This window comes from Homo sapiens, chromosome 6, assembly GCF_000001405.40.
Source record: "Homo sapiens chromosome 6, GRCh38.p14 Primary Assembly".
Classification (NCBI taxonomy): domain Eukaryota; kingdom Metazoa; phylum Chordata; class Mammalia; order Primates; family Hominidae; genus Homo; species Homo sapiens.
The window spans coordinates 65,960,122-65,977,710 of record NC_000006.12 but is presented as its reverse complement, the minus strand read 5'-3'; the positions used below and the strand labels follow the sequence as shown (position 1 = coordinate 65,977,710).

Sequence of the window (17,589 nt, the reverse complement as noted above, 5' to 3'; positions counted from 1 at the left end):
AAGCCTCCTGGAGCATAAAGCAGGGCACGGGAGGGCAGAAAATTGATCTGGGTAGTTGGTAGTAGAGAATACCAGCATAATGGAAAAACTCTTCATGTCTAACTTGTCATTTTTTGCCTGACATATTATTATGAAACATTTTCAAACACAAAAGAGTTTGGAAGTATTGTGGTGTGAACACCATCATGCCCAACATCTAGATCCTACAATAAACATTTTGAGATTTGCAATTTCTCACATATCCACACATCCATTCATATTATTATTATTTACATCTCAAAGAATATTGCAAATGTCAGTACATTTCAATGCTAAACAGCATGCTCAACTGTTCAACACTAAGCAATATCATTAACTACAGATCAATATTTTTTATGTAAATTTACTTTTAATGAAATAAACAAATCTTAAGTATACTAAACTATGGATTTGTAGAAATGTCTACACTGTGTAACCCAAAGTCTTATCAAGGCATAAAATAATATTACCATCATCTCAAAATTATTTTAATTGTTAGATAATCTTATTTCCCTAAAACAATAATTTTTTCAATTTGTTTAAATTTTATTATTATTATACTTTAAGTTTTATGGTACATGCGCACAATGTGCAGGTTAGTTACATGTGTATACATGTGCCATGCTGGTGAGCTGCACCCATTAACTTGTCATTTAGCATTAGGTATATCTCCTAATGCTATCCCTCCCCCCTCCCTCCACCCCACAACAGGCCCCAGTGTGTGATGTTCCCCTTCCTGTGTCCATGTGTTCTCATTGTTCAATTCCCACCTATGAGTGAGAACATGCGGTGTTTGGTTTTTTGTCCTTGCGATAGTTTACTGAGAATGATGATTTCCAATTTCATCCATGTCCCTACAAAGGACATGAACTCATCATTTTTGATGGCTGCATAGTATTCCATGGTGTATATGTGCCACATTTTCTTAATCCAGTCTATCATTGATGGACATCTGGGTTGGTTCCAAGTCTTTGCTATTGTGAATAGTGCCGCAATAAACATACGTGTGCATGTGTCTTTATAGCAGTATGATTTATAGTCCTTTGGGTATATACCCAGTAATGGGATGGCTGGGTCAAATGGTATTTCTAGTTCTAGATCCCTGAGGAATCGCCACACTGACTTCCACAATGGTTGAACTAGTTTACAGTCCCACCAACAGTGTAAAAGTGTTCCTATTTCTCCACATCCTCTCCAGCACCTGTTGTTTCCTGACTTTTTAATGATTGCCATTCTAACTGGTGAGAGATGGTATCTCATTGTGGTTTTGATTTGCATTTCTCTGATGGCCAGTGATGATGAGCATTTTTTCTTGTGTCTTTTGGCTGCATAAATGTTTTCTTTTGAGAAGTGTCTGTTCATATCCTTTGCCCACTTTTGGATGGGGTTGTTTGTTTTTTTCTTGTAAATTTGTTTGAGTTCATTGTAGATTCTGCATATTAGCCCTTTGTCAGATGAGTAGGTTGCGAAAATTTTCTCCCATTTTGTAGGTTGCCTGTTCACTCTGATGGTAGTTTCTTTTGCTGTGCAGAAGCTCTTTAGTTTAATTAGATCCCATTTGTCAATTTTGGCTTTTGTTGCCATTGCTTTTGGTGTTTTAGACATGAAGTCCTTGTCCATGCCTATGTCCTGAATGGTAATGCCTAGGTTTTTTTCTAGGGTTTTTATGGTTTTAGGTCTAACGTTTAAGTCCTTAATCCACCTTGAATTAATTTTTGTATAAGGTGTAAGGAAGGGATCCAGTTTCAGCTTTCTACATATGACTAAGCCAGTTTTCCCAGCACCATTTATTAAATAGGGAATCCTTTCCCCATTGCTCGTTTTTCTCAGGTTTGTCAAAGATCAGATAGTTGTAGATATGTGGTGTTATTTCCGAGGGCTCTGTTCTGTTCCATTGATCTATATCTCTGTTTTGGTACCAGTACCATGCTGTTTTGGTTACTGTAGCCTTGTAGTATAGTTTGAAGTCAGGTAGTGTGATGCCTCCAGCTTTGTTCTTTTGGCTTAGAATTGACTTGGTAATGCAGGCTCTTTTTTGATTCCATATGAACTTTAAAGTAGTTTTTTCCAATTCTGTGAAGAAAGTCATTGGTAACTTGATGGGGATGGCATTGAATCTATAAATTACCTTGGGCAGTATGGCCATTTTCACAATATTGATTCTTCCTACTCATGAGCATGGAATGTTCTTCCATTTCTTTGTATCCTCTTTTATTTCATTGAGCAGTGGTTTGTAGTTCTCCTTGAAGAGGTCCTTCACATCCCTTGTAAGTTGGATTCCTAGGTATTTTATTCTCTTTGAAGGAATTGTGAATGGGATTTCACTCATGATTTGGCTCTCTGTTTGTCTGTTATTGGTGTATAAGAATGCTTGTGATTTTTGTACATTGATTTTGTATCCTGAGACTTTGCTGAAGTTGCTTATGAGCTTAAGGAGATTTTGGGCTGAGACAATGGGGTTTTCTAGATATACAATCCTGTCATCTGCAAACAGGGACAATTTGACTTCCTCTTTTCCTAATTGAATATCCTTTATTTCCTTCGCCTGCCTAATTGCCCTGGCCAGAACTTCCAACACTATGTTGAATAGGAGTGGTGAGAGAGGGCATCCCTGTCTTGTGCCAGTTTTCAAAGGGAATGCTTCCAGTTTTTGCCCATTCAGTATGATGTGGGCTGTGGATTTGTCATAGATAGCTCTTATTATTTTGACATATGTCCCATCAATACCTAATTTATTGAGAGTTTTTAGCATGAAGGGTTGTTGAATTTTGTCAAAGGCCTTTTCTGCATCTATTGAGATAATCATGTGGTTTTTGTCTTTGGTTCTGTTTATATGCTGGATTACATTTATTGATTTGAGCACATTGAACCAGCCTTGGATCCCAGGGATGAAGCCCACTTGATCATGGTGGATAAGCTTTTTGATATGCTGCTGGATTCAGTTTGCCAGTATTTTATTGAGGATTTTTGCATCAATGTTCATCAAGGATATTGGTCTAAAATTCTCTTTTTTTGTTGTGTCTCTGCCCGGCTTTGGTATCAGGATGATGCTGGCCTCCTAAAATGAGTTAGGGAGGATTCCCTCTTTTTCTATTGATTGGAATAGTTTCAGAAGGAATGGTACCAGTTCCTCCTTGTACCTCTGGTAGAATTCGGCTGTGAATCCATCTGGTCCTGGACTCTTTTTGGTTGGTAAGCTATTGATTATTGCCACAATTTCAGAGCCTGTTATTCATCTATTCAGAGATTCAACTTCTTCCTGGTTTAGTCTTGGGAGGGTGTATGTATCGAGGAATTTATCCATTTCTTCTAGATTTTCTAGTTTATTTGTGTAGCGGTGTTTGTAGTATTCTCTGATGGTAGTTTGTATTTGTGTGGGATTGGTGGTGATATCCCCTTTATCATTTTTTATTGAGTCTATTTGATTCTTCTCTCTTTTTTTCTTTATTAGTCTTGCTAGCGGTCTATCAATTTTGTTGATCCTTTCAAAAAACCAGCTCCTGGATTCATTAATTTTTTGAAGGGTTTTTTGTGTCTCTATTTCCTTCAGTTTTGCTCTGATTTTAGTTATTTCTTGCCTTCTGCTAGCTTTTGAATGTGTTTGCTCTTGCTTTCCTGGTTCTTTTAATTGTGATGTTAGGGTGTCAATATTGGATCTTTCCTGCTTTCTCTTGCGGGCATTTAGTGCTATAAATTTCCCACACACACCGCTTTGAATGTGTCCCAGAGATTCTGGTATGTTGTGTCTTTGTTCTCGTTGGTTTCAAAGAACATCTTTATTTCTGCCTTCATTTTGTTATGTACCCAGTAGTCATTCAGGAGCAGGTTGTTCAGTTTCCATGTTGTTGAGCGGTTTTGAGTGAGTTTCTTAATGCTGAGTTCTAGTTTGATTGCACTGTGGTCTGAGAGACAGTTTGCTATAATTTCTGTTCTTTTACATTTGCCGAGGAGAGCTTTACTTCCAAGTATGTGGTCAATTTTGGAATAGGTGTGGTGTGGTGCTGAAAAAAATGTATATTCTGTTGATTTGGGGTGGAGAGTTCTGTTGATGTCTATTAGGTCTGTTTGGTGCAGAGCTGAGTTCAATTCCTGGGTATCCTTGTTAACTTTCTGTCTCGTTGATCTGTCTAATGTTGACAGTGGGGTGTTAAAGTCTCCCACTGTGGGAGTCTAAGTCTCTTTGTAGGTCTCTCAGGACTTGCTTTATGAATCTGGGTGCTCTTGTATTGGGTGCCTATATATTTAGGATAGTTAGCTCTTCTTGTTGAATTGATCCCTTTACCATTATGTAATGGCCTTCTTTGTCTCTTTTGATCTTTGTTGGTTTAAAGTCTGTTTTATCAGAGACTAGGATTGCAACCCCTGCCTTTTTTTGTTTTCCGTTGGCTTGGTCGATCTTCCTCCATCCTTTTATTTTGAGCCTATGTGTCTCTCTGCATGTGAGATGGGTTTCCTGAATACAGCACACTGATGGGTCTTGACTCTTTATCCAATTTGCCAGTCTGTGTCTTTTAATTGGAGCATTTAGTCCATTTACATTTAAAGTTAATATTGTTATGTGTGAATTTGATCCTGTCATTATGATGTTAGCTGGTTATTTTGCTCGTTAGTTGATGCAGTTTCTTCCTAGTCTCAATGGTCTTTATATTTTGGCATGATTTTGCAGCGGCTGGTACCAGTTGTTCCTTTCCATATTTAGTGCTTCCTTCAGGAGCTCTTTTAGGGCAGGCCTGGTGGTGACAAAATCTCTCAGCATTTGCTTGTCTGTAAAGTATTTTATTTCTCTTTCACTTATGAAGCTTAGTTTGGCTGGATATGAAATTCTGGGTTGAAAATTTTTTCTTTAAGAATGTTGAATATTGGTCCCCACTCTCTTCTGGCTTGTAGAGTTTCTGCTGAGAGATCCGCTGTTAGTCTGATGGGCTTCCCTTTGTGGGTAACCTGACCTTTCTCTCTGGCTGCCCTTAACATTTTTTCCTTCATTTCAACTTCGGTGAATCTGACAATTATGTGTCTTGGAGTTGCTCTTCTCAAGGAGTATCTTTGTGGTGTTCTTTGTATTTCCTGAATCTGAATCTTGGCCTGCCTTGCTAGATTGGGGAAGTTCTCCTGGATAATATACTGCAGAGTGTTTTCCAACTTGGTTCCATTCTCCCCATCACTTTCAGGTACACCAATCAGATGTAGATTTGGTCTTTTCACATAGTCACATATTTCTTGGAGGCTTTGTTCATTTCTTTTTATTCTTTTTTCTCTAAACTTCCCTTCTCGCTTCATTTCATTCATTTCGTCTTCCATCACTGATACCCTTTCTTCCAGTTGATCGCATCGGCTCCTGAGGCTTCTGCATTCTTCATGTAGTTCTCGAGCCTTGGCTTTCAGCTCCATCAGCTCCTTTAAGCACTTCTCTGTATTGGTTATTCTAGTTATACATTCGTCTAAATTTTTTTCAAAGTGTTTAACTTCTTTGCCTTTGGTTTGAATTTCCTCCTGCAGCAAGGAGTATTTTGATTGTCTGAAGCCTTGTTCTCTCAACTCGTCAAAGTCATTCTCCGTCCAGCTTTGTTCCGTTGCTGGTGAGGAACTGTGTTCCTTTGGAGGAGGAGAGGCACTCTGCTTTTTATAGTTTCCAGTTTTTCTGCTCTGTGTTTCCCCCATCTTTGTGGTTTTATCTACTTTTGGTCTTTGATGATGGTGATGTACAGATGGGTTTTTGGTGTGGATGTCCTTTCTGTTTGTTAGTTTTCCTACTAACAGTCAGGACCCTCAGCTGCAGGTCTGTTGGAGTTTGCTAGAGGTCCACTCCAGACCCTGTTTCCCTGGGTATCAGCAGTGGTGTCTGCAGAACAGGGGATTTTCGTGAACTGCGAATGCTGCTGTCTGATCGTTCCTCTGGAAGTTTTGTCTCAGAGGAGTACCCGGCCGTGTGAGGTGTCAGTCTGCCCCTACTTGGGGGTGCCTCCCAGTTAGGCTGCTCAGGGGTCAGGGGTCAGAGACCCACTTGAGGAGGCAGTCTGCTGGTTCTCAGATCTCCAGCTGCGTGCTGGGAGAACCACTGCTGTCTTCAAAGCTGTCAGACAGGGACGTTTAAGTCTGCAGAGGTTACTGCTGTCTTTTTGTTTGTCTGTGCCCTGCCCCCAGAGGTGGAGCCTACAGAGGCAGGCAGTACTCCTTGAGCTGTGGTGGGCTCCACCCAGTTTGAGCTTCCTGGCTGCTTTGTTTACCTAAGCAGGCCTGGGCAATGGCAGGCGCCTCTCCCCCAGCCTCGCTGCTGCCTTGCAGTTTGATCTCAGACTGCTGTGCTAGCAATCAGCGAGACTCCATGGGCGTAGGACCCTCCGAGCCAGGTGCGGGATACAATCTCCTGGTGCGCCATTTTTTAAGCCTGTCAGAAAAGCGCAGTATTAAGAAAAGAAATGTTATCAAGAGTAAAAAATAAAGTAAACAAAATAAAGTCAACTGTAGGAAAAAATTACAGGCTAAGCATCTTAGAGCAATAATATTTACAAACAAAAAGTTGAAAATAAAAATAGTTTTTAATTATAAAAATCAAAAGAAATTTTAATATTGACCTAACAGGCCTGTAATGTTACCATAACATACCCTGTATAGGTCGCATGGGCATAAACATAGAGAAAACAAGAAAAAAAAATAGCCCAGAGCACCTCAGTAAATTATCCTTTCTAGAGATTAGTCATTTGCTTACTTTTAATGATAGTAACACAGGATGAAAAGGAATATGAAACATAATTACAATTATTTTTTAAATATTATGACTGCCTGTGCATGGTGAAGCAAAAGATTTTGTTTTTGTTGTTTCTTCTCCTTTTCTCTCTTCTCTAAATTAGTAACTTTTCTTAATGAAGGAAATGGACAATATTGATTCTAGACTTATTAGCCTCATGTATTGTTAATATTCAAGGAAATATACTTCGAGCAACAGATAACTGAATGTTATAATCAAGAAAATAATCAGTATTTTTTAAATTATAATTTAAGATAGTAGATTTAACTTATTTCTCATTACTCAAAAAAAATCAACAGCCAACTTTAACCATTTTCAATGGGATTGATGTTAAGGAAATACCATGTAAACATCCTCTATTAATCTTTGTTCTACATTTTTTGAAGAATAAACTAGATCACCCTGGATATAGATGAAGTATAGAAGATATACATTTTTGGCCAAATCAGTAAAATGTACACATAGATATCAATATTTCTTCATTCTCCCCATCAGTATTTATATTAGGTTAATAGGGCTGCCATAACAAAGTACCACACTGGATGAGTTAAACCATATAAGCTTATTTTCTCACAGTTCTGGATGTGAGAAGTCTGATATCAAGGTTTCAGCATGGTTGTTTTCTTCTAAGACCTCTCTCTTAGATTGTAGATGATTATCTTCTCCCTGTGTCATCACGTGGTCTTTCCTCTGTAAATGTCCATGTTTAATTTTTTTTTTTTCCTGCAAGGACATCAATCGTATTGGATTAAGGTCCATCCTAATGGCCTCATTTTAACTTAATTACCACTGTAAAGACTCTGTCTTCCAATACAGTTACATTCTGAGGTACTGGGGGCTAGTACTTTTAAACATATGAATTTTGCGGGAAGAAATTCAGTCCATAGCAGTATCTATTGCCATTTAAATCTTATACCATTTACATGCAACAATAAATTAGAAAATACTAAGTAATTAATATTTATGCAGCTGTTAATTTTGTCATGTCACCCACATGTATCTTGAAACTACTTCCCTATTATTTTGAATGCATGCATGCATGCACACACACTCACACACACCAAAATATTTCCTGTTATTACCAAACAATTCCCTTTCCCAAGAAGTTTTAAAGTTTTTAATGCATTTTCTGAAATAGTATTATTAAAACTCAACAAAAACATAATGGGGTTATTAAATAAATTGATACCAAGTAAATAATTAACAGAACTAATTAGAGAATATGGCCTCTAATTTAGGAAATTTATGTTATAGAAATTTTCTTTCAACTTTAGGTTCATGAAGTTGAGAAAAAAAGCTCACTGTTTCTGTTATCAAGGTAATTGATTAACTATTCACCACAATTTGAATGTGCAGTTTATGAATTAAGCATTATGAATTAAGCATCATCACATGTGAAAGAAGCAAAATATCTATCTCTTGAGAGACTAAATAAAAAAACAAACATATATTTTCTTCTTAACTCATTGAGTTGTGCTGAGAAAATAATTAGGTTTTCAGTTCTCTAGAGAAAAAATCTATAGGTTCTCAAAGGCATATGGTCGAAGTAATTTTTATGCTGAGTTAGGGAGCAATACAAATCTCTAAAAAACACTTGGCCAACAAGATTGGATATGGTCTAACAAGCAGAGAGGACCCAAAGATGTTACGTACAATATTTCTTAATATATTCAGACTCTTCAAGCATTTGGCAATGATAAAATATTTGGAATGTGTTTTCCCTATTTAAAAGAGTAAACAGCTACTTGGATAAATCTTCTCTCAAAGGTTTTATCTGCACAAAAGGAAGCATCCACATAGAATTTCATAGAAAATCTCCAACTCTTTTGAAATACATTCATAATTTTACATAATGGTTTTTATGTATAGTTTTACCAAACTTTGGAAGGGAACAATATTATATAATTTCAACTTTTTCTTTTCCTATACCCCATGTTATTTTAATAGATATTTTTCTTGAATAATAATTTATTTCTCCATGCCACCAATATTTTCTCAGTTAATTATTAATAAAAAATCCATATTCAACCTCAGCTATGTATGTCAAACCACCTATAGCATTTATCTCTAGTGTTTGAAACAAAGAAATAATTCCATGCTAAATTTCTCTTTATTTTTTTAGATAATTCTAATTTATTATGATCTACAATAACAGTTCCAAAATAATAAATTTGTCTAAGTTGAATATTGCCTATGATATATCAAGTGTTTATTGTAAAACCAATACATGCTTTAAATCTTTAATTATTCAATTACTAATAAAATATTTGGACTAAATTTCTAATACAATATTTTGGCTAATAGAGGATACTTAAATATAACTTTGTTAAAAACCTAACGATGATTCCTTATATTTTGCCTTTTAGTAAAACTTTCGATTAATATAATAGAAACTGTACTAAAATAGATTAAATGATTAAAGTTTAGTACTTCAGGTTATAAAATATTAACTCGAATATTAAAGAAAATACATGAAGGTGAATTTCATATCAGTAAGAATTATAAGCAACTTTATTTTTATTAGTTAATTGTTATTGAGGGTTGGAATGGATAAGGTATGGTAATGAATGAGAAAGATCAGGTCCTCAAATGCTAACTTTTAACTTATTTATCAATACATTTTCTTTCTCTCTTGGACAGAGATACTCCGAGAATACAGAACCGTCTATATAGTCTATTTGATTAGCTCCTTCTCGTTTTCATTTGCCTGGATTTTTCTGTCTGTTGCCCCTGTATGAGTAGAAGCCTGATTGAGTTGTACATGTATCTTTGGGTAAAGAAAGAACTTTCAAGAGACATATTGGCAAGAGTAGTTTTAAGAAAATAAATTTTTAGATTCTTAACTTTCATTTCTAGTCACTCCTGAACTTGAATTGCATTACAATTCTGTTGTCAAATCATCATGCATGTTTTTCCCCATTCTCTTTCACAATCACCCATCTCATACTCCTCTAATAAAGAAAATGGGCCACGCGCGGTGGCTCACGCCTGTAATCCCAGCACTTTGGGAGGCTGAGGCGGGCGGATCACAAGGTCAGAAGATCGAGACCATCCTGGCTAACATGGTGAAACGCCGTCTCTACTAAAAAAGTACAAAAAATTAGCCGGGTGTGGTGGCGGGCGCCTGTAATCCCAGCTACTCGGGAGGCTGAGGCAGGAGAATGGCGTGAACCCGGGGGACGGAGCTTGCAGTGAGCCGAGATCCCGCCACTGCACTCCAGCCTGGGAGACAGAGCAAGACTCAGTCTCAAAAAAAAAAAAAAGGAAAATGTACCTTTCATTCGTCCTAAATATTACTATAGTACATGGCTCTGGAATGTTAATCAAACCTCAGGGTGCCAAACAACAGTGAAATTCAAAATGAAAATATTCAATTGGTGAGCTGTCAAAAATCAAGGCATCTATATTTGTTTAGGGATTCTTCTCATTCTCTGCATTATATATTTTTGTGTAAAGAGCAAACTAAGACTTTGGAAACTGGCTATTTTAAATTATTTTGGAATTTTGTAATTTAGATTGCCAAAGAAGTTCAATTTACATTTTAAAGTGGGGCAACAGGAGTGAAGACAAGCTCTTCTTTTACCCATCAACTATTATTAAAGAATGTAACACTTGTAAGAGAGAGTCCCATGATAGCACTGCATACAACACTGTGAATAGTCAGGAAGGCAGTTCCTGTGCAGAGGGAGGAAGTTCCTGTGTCTTATCTATGTTAGAATAGGAGTTTTTGTGATTTTGTTAGAAAAACTTGAAAAATAACACCTCCCTAATAATAATTCCACTCTTTTCATTTTTACAATTCTAAATAGTAAAAACTGACTGCAGGCTTTTATTTGCCCATGTCTTCATCTATGTCTAATTTGCATATTTTTTTATTTCAAGGTGAAGGAAGTGAAAATTTTTGTATATAATTTCAGTAAACCAACACTATAATTTTAAACAGAAATTGAACTTTATATAGGTAAATATGGAAATAGAAGACTTTTCATATACATCAATAATAAGAAACATTTTTATTTTCTTGAAAGCTTATTTAGATGACTAGCAGAGATATTTCCATAAAACCTTATCAAAAGATTATCAGATGCTGTATTTTCACAATCTTGTTTTACCTGAGCATTTGGCTCCTGTTCAATGAAACTTTTCTTTGTTCATCTTCTAGTCTTAAATTGAATTTATTTTGAGTTGTAATAGTTTTTATGAACAAATATAAATAACCCACTTTGACATAACTGGACCATTCTCTCCAAGAAGTGGTTCTGATTTTGGCTCTGCCCCTGTCCAGTGAGCACTAAGAAGAGACATTCTTGTCATTCTCTTTATTTTCCCTTGACAATTGCTTTTATTTCATGCTATCAACCTGGGGCTTGTGGAGAGAATACAAATATTGAATGGTTCTTCAATTTTTGGAACGACTGAAGTAAAATTTAAAATACCCCATGAAAGAGACATTTTGATTTACACCTTAGTGAAGACTGGACTAGAACGAGAAGAAATAAGATAGACACATTTAAAAAGGAAGGAATATGATAGATGTTTTGACAAGAAGGCCAAAATGATATTCATAGATTATCTGTCTATTGGTACCCAATCATAGGTACAGGCACAAAACATCTCTTGGTGAGAAGTTGTAAAGGAAAAACTTTCTGTACTTCACACTGTATCTACAGTTGCCTCTGGGCATTCATTTTATATATTTATTTTCAATGTGCTTCTAGAAATTTGCACTTCATATACCCCATACATAGGAAGAAAGTATGAATATAGATAATAAAATATTATTGCCCTTAAATGAGTAATATAATTAACTAATTCTATAGATATTATTGGAAAATTTAAGAATGTATTTAAAATTTCAAAGGGATCATGCTTAACTACTTTTATGTAAAACTGCTTTTCTATTGGCTATTTTCATAGACTGATACTTTATTTCCATAATGGTATAAAAATGCATCGCTTGTGATAAGTCATTGAAGTGGACAAATTGTAACCAAAGAAAACAGCTTTGTCAAACATGATACTTCTGCACAACTTAGCTCCTTTTTATAACATGATTGTCCCCCATGTTTGGGCTGTGTTGTGTGCGCCATTACTTAATTACTTTTTTTTTTTTTTTTTTTGAGACGGAGTCTTGCTCTGTTGCCCAGGCTGGAGTGCAGTGGCGCGATCTCGGCTCACTGCAAACTCCGCCTCCCGGGTTCACGCCATTCTCCTGCCTCAGCCTCCCGAGTAGCTGGGACTACAGGCGCCCGCTACCACGCCTGCTAATTTTTGTGTGTGTGTTTAGTAGAGACGGGGTTTCACCGTGTTGGCCAGGATGGTCTTGATCTCTTGACCTCGTGATCCACCCGCCTCAGCCTCCCAAAGTGCTGGGATTACAGGCGTGAGCCACCGCGCCTGGCCTGTATGCCATTACTTTAAGGGGATCAGGATATCTGAATATTATGGTGACCTTAAAATAACCTCACAAAAATGAATTTTATGTTAAATTTAATAATGATTTTCTACCAAATAAGGTTCTATTTTATATATTTTCATTTCATACGCATATATACGTTTAGGGGCGTGTGTGTGTGTGGGGTGTGTGTGTGTGTGTGTGTGTATATATACGTATATATACACATATATACGTATATATACGTGTGTGTGTGTATATATATATATATATATATATATAAAATTTCCTATGACTTTAGGATCTGCCCTCTGGGCCTATAGCTCATACTTCTAGGCCCAATTCTTTGCCTTCAGAGTTATTTTTACTGCTTTTTGAGCAGAAGCAGCTATTTGAACCCAAGTAGTTTAATCAGCCTGTTTCCTGCCTGAATAATTTGAGTCCAACAAATTTTTCCTTAATAGTTCCTTCCTCAATTTATCTCTTTTTTCTTGCATTTTACTGTAAGCAGCAAGAGTAAACATGGCTACACCTTAAATACTTTGCCTGAAAATCTCCTCCGTTAAATAACCGAGTTCATCTCTTACAAGTTCTACTTTCCACCCAAATATAGGACAAAATTAAGCCAAGTTTTTGCCACTATATGTCAACAATCACTTTCCTGCATTTTCCAATAACACATTCCTCATTTTCCTCTCAACTGTCACCAAAAGATCCTTTGTGTTTATTTTTTACCAAGGTTCTATTCAGGACTATTTATGTATTCTCTTAGAAGATAGCAGCTTAGTCTACCATACTTCTCACTCCTTGTGAGCCCTAATTTATTATCCATTTCTAAAGCCACTTCTACGTTTTTAGGATTTGTTATACAGAAGCAACCCACCTCTGGTAACAAACTCTATTACTTTCCCAGGGATGCCATAAAAATTACCACAATTGGGTAGCTTAACATGACAGAATTTAATCTCTTGTAGTTCTGAAGGCCAGCAATATAAAACCAGGATGTTAGCAAGGCTATACTCTCTCCAGAGGCTCTAGGAGATAATCTGTTTCTTGCCTCTTCCAGATTCTGGTGATTGCAGATGTTCCCTGGCTTGTGGCCCATCATTTCAATTTCTTTTTTTATGTTCACATAGCTGCCTCTTCTCTGTATGTGTCTTCTCTGTATGTTTATCTAAAAACTTTGCATTCCTGTTTCTTATAAAAAGACATGCAATTGGATTGAGGGCTGCAGTTAACTCATAATTCTATGTTGTCTCTGCATCCTTTTTGAATGCAAGTTTAACTCATATTGGAAGCAGGACTTGGTCATCCTTGACACAGGTTTCCAGTTCTACACCACACTCAAATGGCTCAAGCCAGTGGCCAGAGATAAGATCTTAGAGGCATCTCTCCAGCCCAGCAGCCTGGGCTCCTTGCTTTCCTGTTGATTCCTTTAAGTTTACCATTCAGGCATTTGTCCACAAACTTAAAGTGAATACCTCATTCTATTATACATACCACAAGTTGCCTGCCAAAAACTTCTCTCTCCTTGCCTGACTCCATTCCTGCCTCATGTGACCCAGGGACCAATGACTTCTCTACAGACACATTATGTCCTCCTTACCCAGAATCTGAAAGTAAAATATTTGAACTTCTTTCCTGTTGTGGTGCATTGAATTTGTGGCTTTCATTTGAAGAACTAGGGGCTACCCCAGGCTGGGTTTTCCCCAGGATATCAGGAGGAACACGAAGTCAGGATCCAAGTGTCAGAGCAATGGTCAGACAGGATAAACAGAACACAGGTCAGACATATATCACAGGAGTGTCTGCCAGTATAAGCAAGTGTGTCACTTGACAGACCCCCTGTTCTTGGTTTGGACAACTACACATTAAGCTGTGTGCCAGGTAAGGGAACTTTCCTGTGATAGGTACATGTGAACACCCATGTCTAGGTCCCTCGCATTTCCCAGTAGGGTAGGATTGCCAGCTGCTCTGGTACTAGAACTCCTGTTGAGCTGAGGGCTTTCAAAACGGGGGTTCATTGTGGGGAGGAAAATATTATCCTGGAAATATCCTTAACTTAATCACATCTTTTGTGCATATAGGGTAATAGTCAAAATTTCTGGAGATTAGAATGTGGACATGTATTTTTTGGGGCCATTATTTGGCCTAATACCAGGTTGTTTAACTCTGGACTATTTAAATGGGTTTTCAACTGAATGGACTAATTTATAAGAATGACACATTTTCCTGATTAATTGTCCTGTTTCAAAGGAATAGTTCTTATTCTTACGGATTCTCTTGAGCTATCCTCTCAACCATGGAAACAAGTAGTTTTTCACAAGGAAGAAAGGAAAAAAAAAACTTGGCAATGTCTTTCTAAACATTCAAGTCTCAAATCCTATTTCCATTTGGAAAGGAAAGAAAAATAAAGAAGGATTTTGAAGGCATTATAGTTTAATTCTCTTTTCCCAGGATTGGCCCTTATCATCCCATAACTCATTCATGGACAGATTCTAGGTCACATAATTCTTGTTTAACCAGGTATGTGCAGTCTAAGCTGTGACATTTTATAAGCATGTTTTTGTGGAGGTGAGGCAAAACTGCTTCCTCACAACAAGGAATAAGCATACATTTATTATTTTTATTGAAAGGATATATGCCTTTATTCTTGCTGGGAATATGGTGAAACACATTTGAATATCACAGTAATTTTTAAACCGAATAACCCAATAGCATCTTCATTAAATTAAAAAAAAGGTAATGCTGAAAATAAGGTGAGACAACAATTGAAAACCCATAACAATTATGTGTCCAAAAATAATTCTAAAGGATTTATTTGTAAGTCACAAATATTTACAAATCTTGCTTTGAAATTATTAACTTCTAGTATATACAATCATTATTTTTTGTGGAATGACTAATATATCAGGGAAATAATTGTTATACAACCAAGGATACATTATTTTTGTTATGTTCCTTACCTCCATTTCTGGGGTAATTTAAGGGATTTTTACCTTCTATTGTCTGAGTGATTTAAGCAACTTAGTTAATAAGCGCTTTTTTCCCCTAACCTCATACCATTTATTTCATTTGCTTAGAATTTGTCCAAAGTGACCCAGACAATAAAAAATATCAAAAAAGTGTAAACACTATTTTTAATTTCAAATGTAAACATTTGGTATAAAAGTCTAAATTAGCTTTACATGTTTTCAGTGATATTCATAGTATGATTTGAATCAAGACCTTACATCTGTGTGCTTGGTAATAGTCTGAAATCATACTCATTTCTGACACAGCAGGTTTTTAATAGCCCTGTAAAAACCAGAACATCATTACTTCAGGCAAGGTGACAGGGATAATCACTTTCTATAATTCATGTTTAATACCTGAATGCCAGGGAGGAATCATTATGTCCTTGGTCCAAAATTTTTAACCACACTACATTATCTGCCCTCCAGAAAATATTTCTGAGAATTACTAGAGTGACTCTAGTACAAAAAGACTGCATTAGATTTTTGTCCACTTTTGAAAATGTTGTAATTCAAAGTAATACTTGAACTGCTAACATGCAATACAGAGTTTATAGCTTTTCACAGTAGTAAGTCTCCTAGCCAGTCTAGAAATCTGATGAGATCTTTTATCTGCACCTTTTGTCAAATAAAATGGCATCTCATGAAAAAGAAGTTGGAAGCATTTAGAATATAAAATATAGTCATGTTATTGTTTAAAAACTAGGTTTTAATATATATGTGTTCATGTGTTTTCCCTGAAGTTTGTTTATTTTGTAACTGGTGATACTTCGTCTGAAATGATGTAAATTAATATGCTCTATTTAAAAAGTTAAAAATGAGGAAGCCTCCACGTGTAATGCAATCTTGCATTTATTCTTTAATGTGTAAATATGATAGATCCTATCTATGTATAAATCCTGCTCTCACCACACAAATGATGCATCCTGCTCTTACCATTTAAATGTGCTCATGCATGTGGTGTATGTGTTTTGTAAGTCACATTTTTCTTCTTTTCCTGATATTACCAAAGGAAGAAAATCATTATTCTTTTATTTATGGACTAACTTGAGCAATTATTTTGCTAATGATTTTAGAAACTTTAACAGGTTTCATTAAAACTACATTATATTCATCCATTATTTAGCTTACTAATGCCTATCTCTAGAAATTCATCCTGGCTTGGCTTACTCCTTTAAAGTTCTGGCATTTGAGTTGCATATAGAGCATAAGTGATTCGGGAAAGAGTTGTTCTTGCCCTGGCCTGTGATAATTGGACCCTCACTCTTCCCAATATGAAATATACCCAGTGTGCTCTGCTGTGCATAGCAAATAAAGAACAAGGTCAAAGAATTAGCAATTATAGTTCCAAGGAGACTCATTTACTTATTGAACATTTTTAGGTGCTGGAATATACCACATGTAGATACAAATCTCTGCCGCCAGTGAAGCTTATATTTTTTGTGAGAGGAGATAGATTTGCAACAAATAAAGAATAAACACTGTAGTTTACATAGTGCAGTAGAAATTGATAAGTGCAAGAAAAAAAAGGTAGAACCAGCCTGTTGGTGGAGAGAGATTGGGTGGATCACCTGAGGTCAGGAGTTCGAGACCAGCCTGACCACCATGGTGAAATCCTACCTCTAAAAATACAAAAATTAGCTGGGCTTGGTGGCCCGCGTCTGTAGTCCCAGCTACTTGGGAGGCTGAGGCAGGAGAATCACCTGAGCCTGGGAGGCAGAGTTTGCAGTGAGCCAAGATCGCGCCATTGTACTCCAGCCTGGGTGGCAGAGCAAGACTCCATCTCAAAAAATAATACTAATAATAAATTGGTGTGTTCTGGTTTTACCTTACTAAGAAACTAAAAAAGTGACATTTGAGTCAAGAATAAAGAAGATGAGATAAACCATGCATATATTTAGAGAAACAGCATTCCAGACAGAGAGAGGAGCCAATCCAAAGTACTGAAGCAGTACCAAGCCCGCTCTGTTATACATGTATATACTGTGCGATATACATCTTCTATATAGATCTATAATAGGGCACATATGTAAGAAGATACATAATATATCTTCTATATATGTATATCTGTATCTATAGTAGGGCGTATATATAAGGATATATATATTTTATGTCTTCTTTATATATCATATCTTTTATATCTTATATGTATTTTTATTTCTTCTATATATATTCTCTACATATTTTTTAATATGTATGTAAATAGAAATATAAGAGGAAATTTTTAAATAAATAATTAAATATTTTAGCTCTGGAAAATAGAAATGTGTAACAAAACAAAAATGTAGTAGTGAAATAAAATATTTAACAAATCTAAGAGTAATTATTATCTAAAGTAGAAATAAATGAAGATAAAAATTGAAATAGGATGGCAGAAATGATTGGTGGTGTTTTTAGGGGTGTTATTTTAGTGTTTC

General features: G+C 36.2%; 1 annotated feature.

Moving 5' to 3' along the window:
* Positions 6,006-6,507: an enhancer, noted in NCBI's record as "NANOG hESC enhancer chr6:66681097-66681598 (GRCh37/hg19 assembly coordinates)". NCBI's record gives its function as "activates a minimal SCP1, AML or CMV promoter by ChIP-STARR-seq in naive and primed H9 embryonic stem cells {active_cell/tissue: H9 hESC(naive and primed)}" and the evidence as "EXISTENCE:reporter gene assay evidence [ECO:0000049][PMID:30033119]".